General features: G+C 41.0%; 1 protein-coding gene across 9 annotated transcripts in view; it reads left to right on the plus strand.

The window, feature by feature from the left end:
• PDE8A (phosphodiesterase 8A) overlaps nt 1-21,986 on the plus strand; it is a 158,676-nt gene that overhangs the window by 74,857 nt on the left and 61,833 nt on the right. For 8 of the 9 annotated variants that reach the window (XR_007064457.1, NM_001243137.2, XM_047432657.1 and 5 more), the window contains exons 2-5: nt 9,047-9,103; nt 11,691-11,881; nt 20,539-20,595; nt 21,410-21,464. Coding sequence is in view for 7 of the 9 variants with exons in the window: in NM_002605.3 (NP_002596.1) it covers nt 9,047-9,103; nt 11,691-11,881; nt 20,539-20,595; nt 21,410-21,464 (360 nt within the window). In the remaining 2 variants the exon portion in view is untranslated. Of the gene's footprint in view, nt 1-9,046; nt 9,104-11,690; nt 11,882-20,538; nt 20,596-21,409; nt 21,465-21,986 lie in introns of those variants that run through there. The other variant, XM_047432658.1, reaches the window with a different exon arrangement.

The raw sequence follows: 21,986 nt of genomic DNA on the forward strand, positions 1-21,986 counted from the left end.
GTCTGCTTGGTGCAGAGCTGAGTTCAATTCCTGGATATCCTTGTTAACTTTCTGTCTTGTTGATCTGTCTAATGTTGACAGTGGGATGTTAAAGTCTCCCATTATTATTGTGTGGGAGTCTAAGTCTCTTTGTAGGTCTCTAAGGACTTGCCTTATGAATCTGGGTGCTCCTGTATTGGGTGCATATATATTTAGGATAGTTAGCTCTTCTTGTTGAATTGATCCCTTTACCATTATGTAATGGCTTTCTTGGTCTCTTTTGATCTTTGTTGGTTTAAAGTCTGTTTTATCAGAGACTAGGATTGCAACCCCTACTATTTTTTGTTTTCCATTTGCTTGGTAGATCTTCCTCCATCCCTTTATTTTGAGCCTGTGTGTGTCTCTGCATGTGAGTTGGGTCTCCTGAATACAGCACACTGATGGGTCTTGACTCTATCCAATTTGCCAGTCTGTGTCTTTTAATTGGAGCATTTAGCCCATTTACATTTAAGGTTAATATTGTTATGTGTGAATTTGATCCTGTCATTATGATGTTAGCTGGTTATTTTGCTCGTTAGTTGATGCAGTTTCTTCCTAGCCTTGATGGTCTTTACAATTTGGCATGTTTTTGCAGTGGCTGGTACTGGTTGTTCCTTTCCATGTTTAGTGCTTTTTTCAGGAGCTCTTGTAAGGCAGGCCTGGTGGTGACAAAATCTCTCAGCATTTGCTTGTCTGTAAAGGATTTTATTTCTCCTTCACTTATGAAGCTTAGTTTGGCTGGATATGAAATTCTGGGTTGAAAATTCTTTTCTTTAAGAATGTTGAATATTGGCCCCCACCCTCTTCTGGCTTGTAGAGTTTCTGCTGAGATATCAGCTGTTAGTCTGATGGGCTTCCCTTTGTGGGTAACCCGACCTTTCTCTCTGGCTGCCCTTAACATTTTTTCCTTCATTTCAACTTTGGTGAATCTGACAATTACGTGTCTTGGAGTTGCTCTTCTCGAGGAGTATCTTTGTGGCGTTCTCTGTATTTCCTGAATTTGAATGTTGGCCTGCCTTGGTAGGTTGGAGAAGTTTTCCTGGATAATATCCTGCAGAGTGTTTTCCAACTTGGTTCCATTCTCCCCATCAATTTCAGGTACACCAATCAGACGTAGATTTGATCTTTTTACATAGTCCCACATTTCTTGGAGGCTTTGTTCGTTTCTTTTTACTCATTTTTCTCTAAACTTCTCTTCTCACTTCATTTCATTCATTTGATCTTCAGTCACTGATACCCCTTCTTCCACTTGATCAAATTGGCTACTGAAGCTTGTGCATGTGTCACATAGTTCTCATGTCATGGTTTTCAGCTCCATCAGGTCATTTAAGGTATTCTCTATGCTGTTTATTCTAGTTAGCCATTCGTCTAATATTTTTTCAAGGTTTTTAGCTTCTTTGCAGTGGGTTCAGACATCCTCCTTTAGCTCGGAGAAGTTCGTTATTACCGATTGTCTGAAGCCTTCTTCTCTCAACTCGTCAAAGTCATTCTCCGTCCAGCTTTGTTCCATTGCTGGCGAGGAGCTGCGTTCCTTTGGAGGAGAAGAGGCACTCCGATTTTTAGAATGTTCAGCTTTTCTGCTCTGGTTTCTCCCCATCTTTGTGGTTTTATCTACCTTTGGTCTTTGATGCTGGTGACCTACAGATGGGGTTTTGGTGTGGATGTCCTTTCTGTTTGTTAGTTTTCCTTCTAACAGTCAGGACCCTCAACTGCAGGCCTGTTGGAGTTTGCTGGAGGTCCACTCCAGACCCTGTTTGCCTGGGTATCACCAGCGGAGAACCACAAATACTGCAGAACGGCAAATGTTGCTGCCTGATCATCCCCTGGAAGCTTCGTCTCAGAGGTGCACCCAGCCGTATGAGGTGTCAGTTGGCCCCTACTGGAAGATGTCTTCCAGTTAGGCTACTTGGGGGTCAGGGATCCGCTTGAGGAGGCAGACTGTCTGTTCTCAGATCTCGAACTCCGTGCTGGGAGGACCACTACTCTCTTCAAAGCTGTCAGACAGGGACGTTTAAGTCTGCAGAAGTTTCTGCTGCCTTTTGTTCAGCTATGCCCTGCCCCCAGAGGTGGAGTCTATAGAGGCAGGCAGGCCTCCTTGAGCTGTGGTGGGCTCCACCCAGGAATTCCCTGACCCCTTGTGCTTCCCGGGTGAGGCGATGCCCCTCCCTGCTCTGGCTCATGCTCCATGGGCTGCACTTACTGTCCGACAAGCCCCAGTGAGATGAAGCCGGTACCTCAGTTGGAAATGCAGAAATCACCCGTCTTCCATGTCGCGCACGCTGGGAGCTGTAGACTGGAGCTGTTCCTATTCGGCCATCTTGGAACCTCCTGTGCTCGTACATGGCTTTTTAAATGTTGAGGTAGTTCCCTTCTATTTCTATTTTGTTGAGTGTTTTTATCATGAAAGGATATTGAATTTTGTTAAATGCCTTTTCTGCATTATTTGAGGTATAATGAATGAGGCTTTTGTCCTTTATTCTGTACAATAATGTATTACACTGATCAATTTTCATATGTCAATACATCCTTGCATTTCAGGAATACATCCCACTTAGTCATGGTGTATAATCCTTTTATTATGCTGCTGAATTCAGTTTTCTAGTATTTTGTTGAGGATTTTTGCATCAGTGTTTATAAGGGATATTGGCCTGTAATTTTCTTTTAGTGTCTTTTGTTGTTGTCGTTGTTTTGTTTTTGAGATAGAGTCTCACTTTGTTACCTAGGCTGGAATGCAGTGGCATGATTGTTTTGTTTTAAGGGATAGGGTCTTGCTCTGTTGCCCAAGTTGGAATGTAGTGGCACAGTCTTGTCTCACTGCAGCCTCGACTTCCTGGGCTCAAATGATCCTCTTCCCTTAGCCTCCTGAGTAGCTACGATTATAGGTGCATACCACCATGACCAGCTTTTTCTTCTTCTTCTCTTTTTTATAGAGTTAGGGTCTCGTTATTTTGCCTAGGCTTGTCTTGACTCCTGGCCTCAAACAGTCCTCCCACCTTAGCCTCTCAAAAGCGCTGGGATTACAGGTGTGAGCTACCACATCTGGCCCTAACTTTGGTATCAAGGTAATACTGGCGTCATAGAATGAGTTAGGAAGTGTTTCTTTCTCTTCAATTTTTTGTAAAAGTTTGAGAAGGATTGTATTAGTTCTTTAAATGCTTGGTAGAATTCACCTGTGAAGCTATTGGGTCCAGGGGTTTTCTTTGTTGGGGGATTTTTGATTACTGATTCAGTCTCCTTACTAGTAATAGATCTATTCAGGTTTTCTGTTTCTTTATGATTTGGTCTTCGTACTTTTTGCGCTTCTAGGAATTTGTCCATTTTATCCAGATTATCCAATTTGTTGGTGTATAAGTGTTAATAGTACTCTCTTAGAATCCTTTTTATTGCTGTAGAATTGGTAGCAATGTCCCTACTTTCATTTCTAATTTTGGTAATTTGAGTCATTTTTATTTTTTTCTCCATCTTGCTAAAGGTTTGTCAATTTTGTTGATCATTTCAAAGAACCAGCTTTTGGTTTCCTTGATTTTTCTGTATTATCTATTCTCTATTGTATTAATCTTTGCTCTAATCGTTATTTCCATCTGCTAGCTTTGGGTTTAGTTTTCTCTTTTTCTAGTTCCCTAAATTATAAAGTTATGTTGTTGATTTGAGATCTTATTTTCTAGTGTATTTATAGCTATTAATGTTCCCCTTAGCCTGTTTTTGCTGCTACATCCCATAAGTTTTAGTATGTTGCGTTTTTGTTTTCATTCATCTCCAAGTATTTTCTAATTTATCTTGTGTATTCTTCTTTGATCTGTTAGTTAAGATTGTGTTGTTTAATTTCCACAATTTTGTGAATTTTCCAGTTTTACTTTTGTTATTGATTTCTCACTTTATCCTTAAGATACTTTGTGTTACATCTATCTTTTAAAATCTATTGAGTTTTGATTTGTGGCCTAATATGTAGTCTGTCCTTGAGAATGTCCCATGTGCACTTGAGGAAAATATATATGTTGTTATTGGGTAGCACATTCTGTATATGTCTATTAGATCTTGTTGGTTTATTGTGTTGCTTAAGTCTAGCCATTATTGAGAGGGGGGTGTTGAAGTCTTCAACTATAATTTTAGAACTGTCTCTTCCTTCAATTCTGTCAGTTTTTACTTTATATATTTTAATGGTCTGTCATTGGGTAGATAATTGCTTATAATTGTTACATCTTGTTACTCTGTTGAATGTTTAACATATAGTGTCCTCCTTTGTCTCTTATAGCCTTTTTTGGTTTAAAGTCTATTTTGTCTGCTGTTAGTATAACTTCCCCTGCTCTTTTTTGATTACTATTAGAGTATCTTTTTCCATCCTTTCACTTTCTATTTTTGTCTTTGGATCTAAAGTGAATGTCTTATAGACCACATATAGATGGGTTCATTCTGCCAATCTCTGTCTTTTGATTGGAGAGTTTAATCCATTTATATTTAAAGTAATTACTGAGCTTGCACAACAAAGCAAGGCTGTGTCTCTACAAAACATTTAAAAATTAACCAGATGAGGTGGCATATACCTGTAGTCTCAGCTACTCGGGAGACTGAAGTGGGACGATCTCTTGAGCCCAGGAGTTCAAGGCTACAGTGAGCTATGATCATGCCATTGCACTCCAGCCTGGGTGATAGAGCAGGACCCTGTCCCTAAAAATAAATAAATAATTACTGATAAAGGTGGACTTAACTTCTGTCATTTTGCTATTTGTTTTTCTGTATGTCACATAGCTTTTCTGTCTTCCATTTCTTTAATTACTGTCTTCTTTTGTGTTCAGTTGATTTTTTGTAATGCAATATTTAAATTCCTTTCTCATTTCCCTTTGTGTATATTCTGTAGCTACTTTCTTTATGGTTAGCATGGGGATTATAGTTAACATCCTAATGTTATATAAATATTTAATTTGAATTATGCCAGCTTAACTTCAATAACATACAAAAATTCTACTCCTATACTGCTTTATTCCCACCCTTTTCAGTTATTGATGTCACAAAATTAAAGCTTTATGTAGTTGGTCCTCCATATTGGTGGGTTCCACGTCCATGGATTCAGCCAACTGAAGATTGAAAATATTTAGGAAAATAAAAATAAAACATGTAAAATAATACAGCATTAAGAACTGTTTACATAGCATTACATTGTATTAGGTATTATAAGTAAGTAGAGACAATTTAAAGCGTAGAGGAGAATGGGAATATGTTATATAAGGTACTTGAGCATCCATAGATTTTCATATATATGGGTGTTCCTGGAACCAATTCCCTGCAGATAACAAGGGACAACTGTACATTGTGTGCCCAAAAGCGTACACTAATACTTTCAAATGTCTCTTATTTAGGAAATAAAATGCAAAATGTAGTTACCCACAAAAGTTACAATAATACTTCCTTTTAGACCAATGATTTTTTTTTTCCACCAAACTGTATTCATCTCTTAAATCATGTAGGAAACAAACAAAAGGAGTTATAAGCCATTTATACAATAGCAATAGCTTTTATAATTATCCATGGTTTCACTTTTATTGAGATCTTTATTTCTTCAGACAGCTTTGAGTTACTGTCTAGTGTCCTTTTATTTTACCCTGCAGGACTCCCTTGAACATTTCTTGCAGGGCATATCTAGTGGTAATGAACTCCCTTAGTTTTTTTGGTTTGTTTTATTTTGTTTTTGTTTTTGTTTTTGTTTTTCATTCTGGAGATGTCTTAATTCCTCCCTCACTTTTGAATGAAGTTTTGCCAAATATAGGATCTTTGATTGACGATTAGCTGACCTCCAAAGTTTCTGATGAGAGATCTATTGATAATCTTATTGAGGATTTCTTGTGTGTGACCAGTTGCTTCTTTCTTGCTGCTTTCTTTTTTATTTTTCTTCTTTTTTATTTATTTATTTTTTTTGAGATGGCATCTTGCTCTGTTGTCCAGGCTGGAGTGCAATGGTGCAGTCTCGGCTCACTGCAACTTCTGCCTCCCAGGTTCAAGCAATTCTCCTGCCTCAGCCTCCTGAGTAGCTGGGATTACAGGCACCCGCCACCACACCCAGCTAATTTTTTTTTTTGTATTTTTAGTAGAGACGGGGTTTCACCATGTTGGCCAGGCTGGTTTCGAATTCCTGGCCTCAGGTGATCTGTCTGTCTCAGCCTCCCAAAGTGCTGGGATTACAGGCGTGAGCCACCACGCCCAGTTCTTGCTGCTTTCAAGATTCTCTTTTTGTCTTTGAGCAGTTTCATTATAATGTGTCTTGATATGGGTCTCTTTGAGTTCATCTTACTTATTGTTTGTTGAGCTTCTTTATGTCCTACATCAAGTTTGGGATATTTTCTTCATACATTTTTTCTTTCCCTTTCTCTTCAGCATCTGGGACTCCCGTGATGCATATATTAGCTTGTTTCATGGTGTCCTTCAGGCACTGTAAGCTCTGTTCACTATTTTTTTAAAGGTTTTTTCTCTTTCCCAGACTCGATAATTTCAATTGTCCCCTCTCTAAGTGTGCTCATTCTTTCTTTTGCCTGCCCAAATTTGCCTTTGAATCTCTTTAGTGAATTTTTCATTCCAGTTATTGTACTTTTCAGCTCCAGAAATTATTTTTGGTTTCTTTTTAGTTTTTTTCATCTCTTTACTTAGATTTTCATGTTGTTCGTACATCATTTTCTTGACTTTCTCCACATCTTTCTTTAGTTCTTTTAGCATCTTGAAGTTGTTGTAAAGTCTTTGTCTAGTAGATCTGCCATTAGGTATCTTTCAGGGATGGTTGCTGTTGATTTAGTTTTTTTCATTTGAATTGGCTGTACTTTCCTGTTTGTGTGCTTTGTGAATTTGTGTTGAAAACTGGACATTTGAATGTAATAATGTGGTAACTCTGGAAATCATTCTCCGTCTTCCCCAGGATTTGCTGTTATTGTTTTGTTTTGTTTTGTTTTTAATTGTGGTAGGCCATCTCTGTGCCAAGGATCAGTCTAATGTGTAAACTCAAGGTCTTCTCAGGCATTTTCTAAGCCTTTCCCTAGGCTTGCATAATCACTTTCTAGTTTTCCCTGTATATGCCATTGCTTTTCAATGCCTTAGTCCCTAATGTCTGACTCTCAAAGGGGATAAAAGAGAAAAATGAAAGGAGAGGAAGGGCACTAGCCCTTTAAATCTCCTAGAAGTCTCTTCAACTGGAGGGGGAATGGCTTGCAACAATGGGAGAAAGTGCAACAATGCACCCCTTCTTTGTCTGCACCTCTGTATCAGTGATCAGAGCACAGATCCCTGATATTTGGAGGACATGGTTGTTTTTGCCTTCCCTGGGTCCTGCAAGTTGTGTTCAGGTTGCTTTAGGAACACATGCACAGCTGCCCACCATGGGCCTGGGTACCTGCTATGTGCTAAGAGCTAAAATTAACTGCGGTTTACCATCCAAGCCTTCCCCTGGAAGTTGCACGTCTTCAATTGTTCCTAAAATAGTTGCATCAGACATATTCTGCCAGTGCAATATTGTCTAGGTGGGGAAACAGATTCCTGGTGCTTCTTACTCTACTGTCTTCTCTAAATCCATCTTTTAAGACTCTCCTGTGGACCTCTTGGACCATCTTCCCTCATAAAAATTCTGGCTTTGGCATCCAGTTACACCAGTATGAGACTGGCCCATAGTTACACAACTCAAGAGAATAGGTAATAACCATGCACTGTCTGTTCTGACTCTTTCACCCTACTGAAGAATCTTCCTCCTCAGTCTTTGGTCTAGAATATTAGGGACCCTCATTCTTTTTATGCCTTCTGAGAGATAAAATTATTGCAGAGCAATGCAGAAACTGAGCCAGTGGCCCATAATTACTAGACATCAGCTTCTCATGGTTAAAAATATATGTGGATTTTTCTCCCATCACTAAGCAAACTTCGTAATGTGTTTACTAGAATAGGTCACTGTTTGAGGGGAGAGATTGGAGGAGGGCAGTCAGTTGGGAAACATTTTGTAGGAAGTCTTATGGATCTAGTTCTTCTGTTGCTGTGACGAATCATACCATCACACAGAGGCCCAGATTGGGATCTCATCAACACCTACAGAGTCACTGGGCAAATTACAAAATGTGTCTCTTCCCCTGGGTAGCAGCCCAGTGCCAGAATTCATCACCTGGAGCTGGTTTTCAGTCCCACCTTCTCCCTTCCTTGGGCCCCTTTGTGTTGTATACAGGCTATTCAAATCTTCTGGTGGTCCTGAGTTTACAGCACAGTGTATGGAGCTAAACAAACCTGGGTGGAATCCCAGCACTACCACTTGCTGTGTGGTCTTAATGCAGGGTACTTAGAACTTCAGTTTTCTAGCTATAAACTCTCACCACATTACTATCAGATTCAGTGAAATAACATGTGCAGCCCTTAGCACAGTAACCAGAACACACTAAGTCTTCCATTGGTGCTGTGATTGTTATTACTCACTGGGGTTTGGTTATGATATTACATTTATCTTTGATTTAGCATTACATTCTCAAATGGATAAGTACTTACAGTAAGTGCTATTATGCTCCTCTGTAAAATAGAAAGTGTCAACCATTTTTCAATGACATTCCATGGTTCTGACTGCTGGATTGCATTATTCATGTGCCATTTGGGTGTAAGATTTCATTGTCCATCAGGAAAAAAATGGAAATAGGCACAGAGGGAATCAGCGTTTATTTAGTATCTATTATTGGGGGGCTCTCTATATTGTCATCTCATTTGGCCTTTAACAAATGAGAAGTTGAGGCTGAGGAAGATTAATTCACTTAAAGTCACATGTAGCTAGTAAAAGGCAAAGCCAGAATCACATTCATTTTATTTGTTCATTTTATTTCTCCTTTCCTGCTCCCCACTTTTCCTGGGGGCTATAAGGAGATCCTTAGGATTCCTCATAATCATTTCATTTATCTACTATTTACTTTATTTGCCTCTAGAATAGAAATTTTGCTTTCATTTTTGGCACTGTTTAGAGAGAGAAAAAGTTAAGCTTCTCTTTCTCCGTTGTCTTTTCATTTTTAAGCCAATCTCTTTCTTACAGGTAGCAGTAGCTGATGTGCAGTTTGGCCCCATGAGATTTCATCAAGATCAACTTCAGGTAATAATGAACGATGCTGTATTTTTCACATGCTGATTTTCTTTAAAAAGGGTGGAGGTGGAGCTAAATTTACACATTTAAAATAGTCTTTCATTTAGATAATAGTGTTTGGACCAATGTTAAATTCCCTGAACTCTGTAACAGTATTATAGTTATATAAGAGAATATCCTGTTCTTAGAAATACACATTGTGGTGTTTAGAGATGAAGAAGTGTTTGTAGCCTACTTTCATTGGTTCAGCAATAGGTCAGGCACGGTGGCTCATGCCTATAATCCCAGCACTTTGGGAGGCTGAGGCAGTAGGATCTCTTGAGCTTGAGGAGTCCTTGAGGAGTTTGAAACCAGCCTGGGCAACATAGGGAGACCCAGTTTCTGCAACAACAGCAACAATAAATTAGATGGACATGGGGGTGTGTGTGCCTGTGGTCCCAGCTACTTGGAAGGCTGAGATGGGAGAATCACCTGAGCCCGGGAGGTCAAGGCTGCAGTGAGTCATGATCACACCATTGCACTGCAGCCTGGGCAACAGAGTGAGACCCTGTCTCAAACAAACAAAAGAAAAAAAATTGGTTCAGCAATAAATAAAAAATGTGTATAATTGTATGTATGTACATGTATGTGTTTAGAGAGAGAGAGAAAGCAAAGCAAAGGTGGCAAAATGTTAATTGATGAATGTAGAGAAAGGGCATGTTTAGTGTTCATTTTCATTCACGTTTCTGTAGATTTGAAATTTTCCAATATAAAAAGTAAAAAGATTGTCTTTTCAATGTTGCTGAATCAGCTCTGTCAGAGAGAAGATATCTGTAATTTATCTAATTCAAAATATGAGACAGAAAACAACCAATTGATGAACAATGAGATCACATGGACACAGGAAGGGGAATATCACACTCTGGGGACTGTGGTGGGGAGGGGGGAGGGGGGAGGGATAGCATTGGGAGATATACCTAATGCTAGATGACGAGTTAGTGGGTGCAGCGCACCAGCATGGCACATGTATACATATGTAACTAACCTGCACAATGTGCACATGTACCCTAAAACTTAAAGTATAATTAAAAAAAAAAAAAAGAAAACAACCAATTGAAATTCAGCGAAGTTATCCATGCTCCCCGCACATGAACATGTTTCATTCACTATTACATTTAAAAATATATGAGAAGTGCTGACAGAAATGTGTGCTCTTAGTTCTTTGCATGTATGGTCTTTGTGTAGTTGAGTAAACTCGGAAGAAATAAGCCTTAGGAGGGTTTCTGATAGCTTTGCAGTCTGTTTCACAGGCTGCCCATCTCCTCCTTACCACTGTTGCCCCATTTTCAGTCTGCTTCTGAAGGGATGGAGCACGGGTGCTCCTGAACCAGATTGGGAGTGGGAATAGCAGGGAGAGAGAGGGAAGGAGGCTGGCTGGATAAGGAAGACGCTATGGATACAGGCCTCGCTTGCTCCAGGCCAGGACTGACGTGATTGGGGCAGCCAGCCACTGTCCTGGGCAGAGGCACAGATGCTACCTCTTGCACCTGGTGACTGTGTCACTTAACTGATAGGCTTTGAAGTGTCACATTTTGGTCTACTTTAAATCTTTCTTCTTTTAATCAAAGCAATTTTTTTTTTAACTTGGAGGAATTACATAAAATCTTGAGTCAAACATTTCAATACATTATTTATAGGATTAAGTATTCTAATAATTTCACCAAGATATTAGCATTCACCATCTGAGAACTTACCCAGTTAACTTTCTTTCAGCTAAAATAAATATTAATGTGTTTTAATTCTTTTAGTTTCAAGATAAAATGCTTAACTAAATCTTTGTTGAGTTCTGCCAGTGGGTTTCTTAGCAAAAAAGTAGGCATATGGCCAGGTGCAGTGGCTCACACCTGCAATCCCAGCACTTTGGGAGGCCACAGCAGGTGGATCACTTGAGTCCAGGAGTTCTAGACTAGCCTGGGCAACATGGAGGGACCCCATCTCTACTGAAAATACAAAAATTAGCCGGGCATGTGGTGGCGCACACCTGTAATCTCCCAGCCACTGGGGGCTCTGAGGTACAAGAACACTGGAACCCTGGAGGTGGAGGTTGCAGTGAGCTGACATCACACCACTGTACACCAGCCCATGCAACAGAGGAAGACCCTGTTGCCCACCCACCATCCCCCCAAAACACACACACACACACACACACACACACACACACACACACACACACACACACACACACAGAAATGACGATTCTGACCAGGCGCGGTGGCTCACGCCTGTAATCCCAACACTTTGGGAGGCTGAGGTGGGAGGATTACTTGAAGCCAGGAGTTCGAAATCAGCCTGGCCAACATGGCAAAACCCCGTCTCTACTAAAAATACAAAAATTAGCTGGGCATGGTGGCATGTGCCTGTGGCCCAACTACTCGGCAGGGCTGAGGTGGGAGAATCACTTGAACCTGGGAGGCAGAGGTTGCAGTGAGCCAAGATCATGCCATTACACTCCAGCCTGAGCAACAGAGCAAGACTCTGTCTCAAGAAAAAAAAAGTGTAAGAAATGACAATTCTAACATCTTTTTTTAAAAAAAGTGTTTGTGCTCTTTTGATTCAGGTACTTTTAGTGTTTACCAAAGAAGATAACCAATGTAATGGATTCTGCAGGGCATGTGAAAAAGCAGGGTTTAAGTGTACAGTTACCAAGGAGGCTCAGGCTGTCCTTGCCTGTTTCCTGGACAAACATCATGACATTATCATCATAGACCACAGAAATCCTCGACAGCTGGATGCAGAGGCACTGTGCAGGTAAGCCCAAGACTCGGGCCTAAATAGTCCCATTGGCCTTTCTGACAATACATGCAGCCTAGAAATAGATTAAATTAGACTCACTCTCTTTTAAGTTGCTTTCCATGCATGTGAAATAAACAAAATATTAGAACCTCACTATTTATAGGACTGATGCATATCTCTTTTGTTTTGTCTTGCTTCACTTTACTTGAAACAGTAAGAAAATGTGAATAATAAGAATTATTAAGGGTCAAAGTGAAACCCAAAATGTAATTAACCACAAGTATCACTTGTATATTAGTGCAGTAAGAATTATAATTTTTCAGATTGTTTTCAAAGTTTTAAAAATTTTGAAAATTGTCTTTTAATGTTCGATGAATGGGCTTTATTTATTATACTTGCACCTTGTCAATATTATGAGAGAATTCTCTGTAGTGACCTAAACCTAAAAAATGCCTTTTAAAGAAAGTTATTTGTTGCTGATGGAAGCAAGGCAAATATAAAATTTTATGACATATTAATTTTAAGGACATTTAAAATCTTGACTTTTAAGAGAGAGAAAAGATATAAGCTAAGTAGATTAAAAACCCATGGGTTAAAAACCGAGGTGACAAGCAAATGACAACATATTAAAAGATTATTTATGGGGTATGTGGTGACGTCAACATGGGTTTGTTTCCTTGGTGTTGAGAACTCTACACTCCTGGTAGTCAGACTAGGTAGCGTTTACCCTTCCATGACTTGCCTCCAGTAGTTTCTCCTGTGGCCTTGATCTAGTGCCTGAAATGTGCCTGTGTTCCTCATCTGTTTCAATCTGCATGACTTCACAATAAGCCATCATCATTGTAGCCCAGATTTCTTTTTTTTTTTCTTGTGACGGAGTCTCACTCTGTAACCCAGTCTGGAGTGCAAGGCTCGATCTCAGCTCACTGCAACCTCCACCTCCAGGGTTCAAGGGATTCTCCTGCCTCAGCCTCCCAAGTAGCTGGGATTACAGGCGCACACCACCATGCCTGGCTAATTTTGTATTTTTAATAGAGACGGTGTTTGACCATATTGGCCAGGCTGGTCTTGAACTCCTGACCCCAAGTGATCCATCTGCCTCAGCCTCCCAAAGTGCTGGGATTACAGGTGTGAGCCACCGCACTGTGCCCGCCCTACCCCAGATTTCTTGACATGTCATTTGGCCAGTCACCCAGCACATTCATGGGGGATTGCAGCCCAAAAGAAATGGAGAGAGCTCCGGCCAGGAAAAAGGGAGGTCCAGGTCCTTGTTTGGCTCTTCCTGGATAGCTGCTTGTCTCTGGGTAACTCTGCCTTCTCTGGGGATGTTTTAGCTCAGCTGTAAATTTGGAACACTTGGTTTCCAGTATCCCTTTTATCCCTAACATTGAATAGATACCACTCAGAGGAAGGGAAGATGATATCTAAATTACATGGTGCTTGGTAGTCATGGTGGAATGTTGCAAGGCAGTAGAGGTGTCTAAGGTGGGCCAAATGGCTGCCGAGATAGAAGAGGGAGGACAGGGTGAGGGGCTGGAGAAAATTTGGCCTCTTTCCTAGTCTTGTCCAGGCCCAAGCCTAGCCACAGGTATGTGCTAGGCAATGAAAGTTCATACTTTTAAAGGTGACTACTAGAGCATCTTGTATTGTAAAAGAAAATTTAAATTGTGTTGGTTACGCTCCACTGTTAAAAATTGTGGTAAAAGAAACATAACATTAACTTTATGTTCCACTTTTTAAGGGAAGAAAATGTACTATTGCTGTACATTTTAGGAATATTCTAAACAAATAGGGTTAATTCATTCAGCAGATTTTTATTGAGCTATGTACAAGAGAATGTTTTAGACTGAAAGTTATAAAATGAAGTTCTTGTCTTCTATGAGCTTATAGACTAGAGGAGCTGAAATATTTCAATGAAAAAAAGTAATGTTACGTGCTCAGTTAAAAACTCACACAAATACCAAATTCCATAAGCACTATAGTTAATCAGAGTTCTTTCGTCATGTAAATAACAATTTTATATAGTTTTAAAGTAAAGAATGGGAACTGGATTGCTTTAATATATGGTTTTAGAGAAGCAGAGAATGTCAGATGTGCCTCTCCTCTATGAAGTGCCTAGCACTCTCCATCCAGCCTCTCCTCAGGACCTGGGGCTCACTAAGTGAAACCCTGAGATTTAGAAGCTTTGCTTTATATTGAACCCAACTTTGTCCACAGTTGGCGCACAGGATTGCTAGAACAGAGCTATTATTCCTCTTCCCCAGAATGGACTTCCAACACTGGAGGACAGGAATTGTGTCCCCCCACCCCAGACATCTTTCCTTTTCTGAACTGAGCACACCCTTACTGCTATGAGTGGCTCCTAACAGATCCTGGTTTCATATTCCCACCACATCAAGGGTGCTTCCCCTGAGTACCCTTTTCTGATTGATAGACCTTGTAAGCATGGCTCCAGAACCGAAAAGCTCACACTAGGTTTAGGGGAACCAGTGACAAGTAAGCAGAACAGTCCCCTCCACTGTGCTAGCCAGAGAGAGCAGGCCTTTACAAATGTAATCCCCGATCACATTTATTTCCTGATGGCCACATCACAGCCTTGGTCAAGAATCTCAAGTGTTTCTCACAAGCTGTTTTCTACCACGTCATCTCCATCTTGTTGGGTGAGGATTTGGGGTAGGGATGGGTCCTTGTGCTAATCGTAGTGAGTTTTCTAGAGGCAAGAGCAGACCCTGATTTATTTTCCTAATCAGTTTTGTCTTCATTCTGGCCCTTACCTGGCTTATCTCCCTTAAGATCATCCCTTTAAGGATGCCCGCCCACTTTGGACTGTTCAAGAAATCTTTCCAGGCTCCCCACCCCCGAACCAGCTTGCCCTGTCTCTGAGCTGACTTACATGGCTCTTGAGACCTTAGCCCTGCAGAATTCTGTCCTTCCCTTCATCTTCCCTTTTGGGATACCTAATCAACACTGCCTATGGAGAGCTTTTCATCGGTTGTTGACCTGTCTAAATGACTAGCATTCACCTGTATCTCTCTGTTGGGGGCATTTGGAACTCCTTACACTCCTTATGAGATGCCTTGCTAACAGCAAATATTCTATGTCTATTATATTTCCAAATCTACCAGTTTAGGAACCCTACGTTGTAAGTCTCCTCAGGTCTGGGCACTGCATTTGGTACTAGAGCTACATAGATGAGTAAGATGTGCTTCTTGTCTCTGAGGAGCTAATACTTTAGTTAGCAGGGAAAGTGAGTGATTTCGGTATAGGCTTGTAAGTGCCCGCAGAAGAGGTTTACGCAGAGTGTTGTGGGTGCCTGTGTCAAAGAGGGCTTCGCAAGAGGATACTTGAGTTGCATCTTAAAGGATGAGCAGGAGTTTTGAAAGGAAAAAAGGTGGAGAAAATGTTCCAGGTAGAGGGAGCGGCATGTGTAGAAACAGGCAGGACATCCGGGCACCTCTGCTCAGTGCTAGATGGCTGCTGGTCAGGCAGATGTGGAGTAGGTGTCAGGGGAGGTTGGAACAGCAGACGTGAACCAAATGATGAAGGCCTTGTGTGCTAAGCCAAAGGCTGTGGACTCTACCCCGTAGGTAGTTGAAACACTGATAGATTCTGCGCAGGAAAGTGTTGAGCAGGATAGAAAAATAACTTGGCTGCCAAGTGGAGAATGGAGTAGAAAACTGGAGGAGATGAGGCAAATCAATCAGTTGTGAGGCTGCTAGAGGCCATCCAGTAGTTCCTAACAGAGTATAGCTTCATATTCCCACTGTAGCACTTGATATCAATGTCTCCTCCCAACTTCCTATCAAAAAACCCATGAAGAGGGAAAAAGAGACAAAAATTGACCATAGCAATAATAAATAAAAACCCACAAAGATAAGATGATAGGTCAGAAGCTGAGAGAACAGAAAAGGATAGGAATCTCTACTGTATCTGTCGTACCGTGGAGACTAATAAAGAAGCCTGTTTCTGAACTGTGCCTCAAGCACTTCAGTCTTTGAAGCTGAAATACCAGTGGCCATAAAGGAAGGCAGTGGAAACAGGCTTTGCTTTACTCCCACTGTGTTCTGCCAAGCCTGGGATGCTGGAGTTGCTCTAACCAGAGAAACAGATGACTGAGCCCCAGCAGAGCAGCAAGGCTTTATGAGCTGGGCAGAGGCCTGCACTCTTGCCCCTGCCATCCCTGCTGCCCCTGATTCTTTACTTTCTGCATCTACTCAGAAACCCAAGGTAAGGAAGAGAGGGATATGGACAGAGACATGGTTTTTCCTACTATGTTTTAAGAAGGGACAGAGGTATAAGGAACCTGAAGACAGTTCTCCACATACTGCAGTTTCAAAACAACAAATTGCATCAGTTCTCAGGTTCAGTTTGAGAATCAGAGAGAACAGGCCAGGAGCCCCGCTCTGCAGCAGACCTGTGCATGCCTGCTGGCAGTGTTCTCCAAGCCCGAACTGTGCTTGTTGATGTGATCTACCGCCCAGACCTAAGAGGAGGACAGCTGCTGACACCAAGGGTTCAGTGAAGAGGTGCTAAGGAAACTCTTGTGACCCTCTTTGTTGGCAAACTCTTAGCCTGCATAGATGCGAATTGCATTCAGGGGTGTGTAAACAGGATGAGAAGGGGGGCCTGTGAAAAGTGCCACCACATAATGAGGGGGGAAAGAACAGCCCTGAAGACTAAGAAAATTATTTTTTATAAGACACTGTAGAACCTTTTGAAGACATATGCTTAGTGGACTCAGAAGAGGTGCAGCAGTATTTCTTGGTGCAACAGGAGTAGGTCTCTGTAATAAAAGGGAAGATCTCATAAAGGGATATAGAGGAAATAAAAAAAGTACTACTTGAAAACCCAAAACGCATTAACAGAATTAAAATCTATGTTGAATGCAGAAGCAAGATTGAACTCAGAGCACCAGATGCTTTTATACAATTTCTTGATTCACCTTGGTGTGCAGATCCTTTATACCATTATAAATCCCATTCTTTTTCATCTGAAACTCATTCCACATGGCAGAGAAAAATAGCAAAGCACAAGTAATGGAGTTGTGCTTTTGTGAAACTTAACTCATTAAAGGGCTGGGCTATGTTCTTATAGTGAGCCTCCATTATGTGGCCTTTTTTCCAGTGTTGTGTTGAGACCATTATCAGAATTATTTGTAGTTGCCTAGAGTAGCTTGAGTCTGGTAGTTGCCCCCAGTATCCATTTCTATTCTTTTCCTAATAACAGAATCTCTGATGTGTAGCTGGGCATATGGCTACCTAGAAAATAGATTGCATTCCCTAGTTTTTCTTACAGCTGGCCAATGGACCTATCATGTGTATCTTCTGGAAAGTATACTTAGGGAAGGAGCATTCCCTTTTTCCTGCTATCTGGAATGTGGACATTATGGCTAGTGTTCAGTATCTGTCTTGGACCATGAGGAAGAAACCTCATGTACAGACAATAGTAGAGAAACACTGGTAGGAGCTAGGTTCCTGATCCTGCAGAGTCCATGGCAGCCCTGGACTGTCTCCTCTGCACATTTTTGATGTGTGAGACAGATACTGTTTAAACCACTCTTCTCTGGTGTTTTCTATCTTGTGTGGCCAAAAGGATTCCTAATGGTAAACCAAGTAGCATGCTTTTAAGACTTTCCCAGTGAGGCCGGGCTTGGTGGCTCACACCTCTAATCCCAGCACTTTGGGAGGCCAAGGCAGGCAGATTGCTTGAGCCCAGGAGTTCGAGACCAGCTTGAGCCACATGGTGAAACCCTATCTTTACAAAACATCAAAAAATAAACCAAGCATGGTTGGCACTTGCCTGTAGTCCCAGCTACTTGAGAGGCCGATGTGAGAGGATCACTTGAGCCCAGGAGGTCAAAGCTGCAGTGTGCCATGATCACACCACTACACTTGAGCCTGGCCGACAGAGCAAGACCTTGTCTCAAAAAAAAAGTGGGGTGGGTGGGGACTTCCCTGAGTACTTAACACTGCTTTCAGAATCTCATTCTACAGGATCGCACTCCATCTTTTTCGTGACCTTCTTGAATTCTGACTTCCTGAACATTCAGGTATACATTTCAATAATGCCAAGTAATTTCTTTCCTAGTTTTCATGAATTCCAATGCAAGGATGTTATTTTTCAACTCAGTTTCCTGACATTTCTGTTTTCTAGCCCGTTCTTCCTTCATATGCACCAGAAAAGGTCCCAGTATGTCTCTACCTTTTTATACAGTTTTAGAGCTGTTTTTAAGGGCTTATCTCCAGGTAAACAAGGTCCTCCCTTCCACTTTATCCTTAATCCAGTGCTTCTCATTCTTGTGTCTCCAGATAGGAGTAGTTCATTCAAAGCTCCTTAGTGAGATCACCTACCTACTTGCCTACTTGCCATTACATCACTCCCATCTTGATTTTTCTTCTAAAAAGCTGAAAGCTGGTTTGAAATGGCTACATACTTAAATTTGCCCTTTCTCCTTCCAAATCTCTGTGATATGATGGAAATGTAAACACAGGACAGATACAGTGTCACTAGAAGTGATGAAAATACCATTTGTGAGTCACGCCTTATTCCCTGTTTGAGATCAGTGTTAGGATGAGTATTAGTCAGCAGGTGTGATGAGTGCACTAGCTGTGTCTGTGAGTGTCTGTTGTGCCAGTGACCCCTCCAGGCCTAAGCAGCCTTTCCCATAGCTCTTCCCCAGGAAGCTGAGCCTGCCTGCTCTCCCCAGTCAGGGGGACCAGGGTTGAACTGGGGATTGACACCTGGCCAGTAAGCCCTGAGGTGGCGTGTCTGCAAGGGGTCTTCCAGCAGAGCCATGCAGCACCCTTAGGTTGGCTCCCTCTGGAGAGGATAGGCAGGTGGATGCTAGAGGAGTACAGAGTGAACACAGAAAAGCAGGGATGTTGAGGGGGTGGGGAAGAAGTGAACATGAGAGAGACTGGCTGGTCGCTAGAGCTGCTTTTCCATTCCTGAGCAACTTCCCTACCCCTGGCCTATTCTGCATGTGTTGTTAGATTCAGCCTTTCTCAACCTGGATTCCATAAGAAAATGAAGCCCGAATCCCTACAGGCAAGAATGGGCAAAGGAGAACACAGTCTTGCCCATTCATTTGTGTATTATGTGTGACTGCCTTTGTGCTACAGTGGTAGAGTTGAGTAGTTGTGACAAGAGTCCATATGGCCTGCAAAGCCTAAAATATTTATTCCCTGACCCTTTACAGAAAAGTTTGCTAAGACTGGGGCGGGGGCATTTGGCTGAGTGTGCTGGCTCACGCCTGTAATCCCAGCACTTTGGGAGGCCAAGGCAGGAGACTGCTTGAATGCAGGAGTTTGAGACCAGCCTGGGCAATGTAGTGAGACCTCGTCTCTACAAAAAATAAAAAAATTAGCCAGTGGCATGTGCCAGCTGGTCGCAGCTACTCATAGCTGGAGCCCAGGAGGTCAAGACTGCAGTGAGCTGTGATTGCACCACTGTACTCCAGCCTGGTGACAAATAGGAACCTGTCTCAAAAAGATGGGGGCATCCATCGTGCATGATGAATCTCTTACGCATCTGGAATGGTTATGTTGTATACCATCTTTGAGAGACTTGAGAACTAGTCACTCAAATTATTTTCTGGATTTTGTGATTCAGAAGTGGCTCTATACCTTGAACTAACAGCTGAAGCAAATGCAGTCAGTCTTGACTGGTTTCTGTGCCATCCTAGACACATTCTCCAGGAGGCCAGCTCACCTTTGACTTGACTAGGGCAGTCTGGTTATGTTCCTCTACATTCTCCTCCTTTTAGAGTCCCTCTCCAACATAAGTCGTCTTCCTCTGGGTCTGGGGTGAGTTCCTTTCTTCTCCAGTGGAGTTGTTCTTCTCTAGAGTCTGCTCGCTTCTCCCAGTGTAGGATGAGTTCAAAGCTGTTGCATATCTCCAGTGGAGCACTTCTTTTCTTTCTTTTACTCTATGTCACATTTATTTCTGCTCTGATATTTTGGCTGTATTTTCATTCCCCATGGCCTCTAAAGCTGCTTCTGCAAAAGGGTTGAATTTACTCTGTATGGGAAGTCTTGTACTCTTTGGGTAACTTTAGTCGAACAGTCTCTTGTACTTTTCTAGACCAGTCCTCTGTTCTTAACCTTTTCATGAGGTGTTGATGCTCTTCTTTCTGACCGATTACAATATCTTGCATTTCCTAGTTTTGGATTATTTTTGGTTATTTAGCCTCCATTTTACCTAGTAACTCTTCATCCTTTGTGCTCCTTAGAATGCAGTGGAGCCAGCCCTTGGGCTCCTTTATCCCCGTTGTAAGCATAGCCATCATCTTGTGGTAATAGACATAAACTTGCATTTTCCTTTGGAAGAAGAGACCAACGGCTTCTTTCATGTAAGCACAAAGCAGGGAAAATACTCCGCCTGAAACAATGCAGGTTAACAAAGATCAGAACAAGTAGAATACATGTCATCTTAGTTAGCTGTTAATTCATACTCCATAATCATTACAGTTAACACAGTCCACTGAGTGGGAGTTTGCCCCCAAAAGAGAGAAAGATCAAGTAGTCAAGAAGGTGAGTGAATTCAGAGAGTGAGGGGATCATTTACTCTCCCTTCTACCCCTCTTCCAACTTTAATTGTTGTAATTGTTTAAGTATATTTGGTTTTTAAGGATTATTTTTATATTTATTTTAAAGTTTTGTGTTTTTTTTAAGGTCTATCAGATCATCAAAACTCTCAGAAAACACAGTTATTGTTGGTGTAGTACGCAGGTAAACTTTCATTTTTTTAATGTTGAAATTGAGGTACCAGTGTAATACTTGCTCTTAACAGATGGCCAAATAACAGCTTGCATGCTGTGTCAGGCATGCCCCTTTGTAGTGTGGCCTTCTCTTCTTTATTCTTTATTTTATTTTGCTGCTTCAGTTAACTTCCTGGAAGGACTTTGTGCTCTCATGCTAGATTTTTGTGATTTTTAAACTGCCTTTCACTTTAGAAACAGGCGAACTATGAGAGAATTCCATTCCTAAAAGTATGAATGTTTTCCAGGGGTATCTTCCTAGGGCCTTCTAACTCCAAATATCTCTGAGGGGGGAATCTTAGGTTTTGTCTTTAAATTGGAGGTAAGGAAAGAAGAGAAATATATTAGGAGAAGGGCAAGTATTCAAATTAATGTTATTTAGCTTATATGTTTTTATACATAGAAGAAATGTTTCTATGTACTTTAAAGTTTTTTCCTGAGCTGTAGGGGAGAAAGGAATTAAAAAAAAAACCTGGAAGTAGAAGAAAATAGGAGTAGTTTAAATTAAAAATTTTATATATTAAAAAGATATATGAACACTCCTGTATTCCTGCTATTAATGTAGTTTGTGTATTTCAAGTATTATAATATATAATTCCAAAAAGCTAAATGTGAAATTGAAACAGAAAACAGTTTTCAACTTTATCCTTTAAATTTGTATATTAATCTGATTCATCTAAAAGTACTCATTACATAACGAAGTATTATTTAAATTAGTAGAGTAAAAGAGGTGAGATGTAATTGATAAAAACTATGTCTATGTTCTTTACTGTGTTATTTTGAAGGGTGGATAGAGAAGAGTTGTCCGTAATGCCTTTCATTTCTGCTGGATTTACAAGGGTATGTACTCACTTATTTGTTATACAAGTATAATTCAATTTGAGAAATTATTTTATCTCAGTTCAGTACCCAGCAAAAGCTTTGTATTAATTTGAAGAAAAAAAATTGTCTGGCCAGGCGTGGTGGCTCATACCTGTAATCCCAGCACTTTGGGAGGTCGAGGTAGGAGGACCCCTTGGGCCCAGGAGTTCAAGACCAGCCTGGGCAACATAAGGAGAACCTGCCTCAATCGTACTTAAAAAAAAAATTACTGTCCTTGTTTTACAGTTTGGTTTAACTTTATAATCTGCTAATCTAATCTATAATAGTTCATAGTCTCTCAAAACTATGCCTGCTAAGGTCATCTAAACATAATAAAATCTCCTTTAATGGCATTTTCACTAAAAATTATACCACAGGATGTATTGTTATGATGCTGACATGTATACATGCAACTTTTTAAGCTAGTTCAAGGATTCTGGAAATAAGGCAGCCCAAACACAGCTCTCTTTCTCTCCACTCCCAGCTTCAATCTCTTGGTTT

Source organism: Homo sapiens, chromosome 15 (assembly GCF_000001405.40).
Source record: "Homo sapiens chromosome 15, GRCh38.p14 Primary Assembly".
In the NCBI taxonomy this organism is placed as follows: Eukaryota; Metazoa; Chordata; class Mammalia; order Primates; family Hominidae; genus Homo; species Homo sapiens.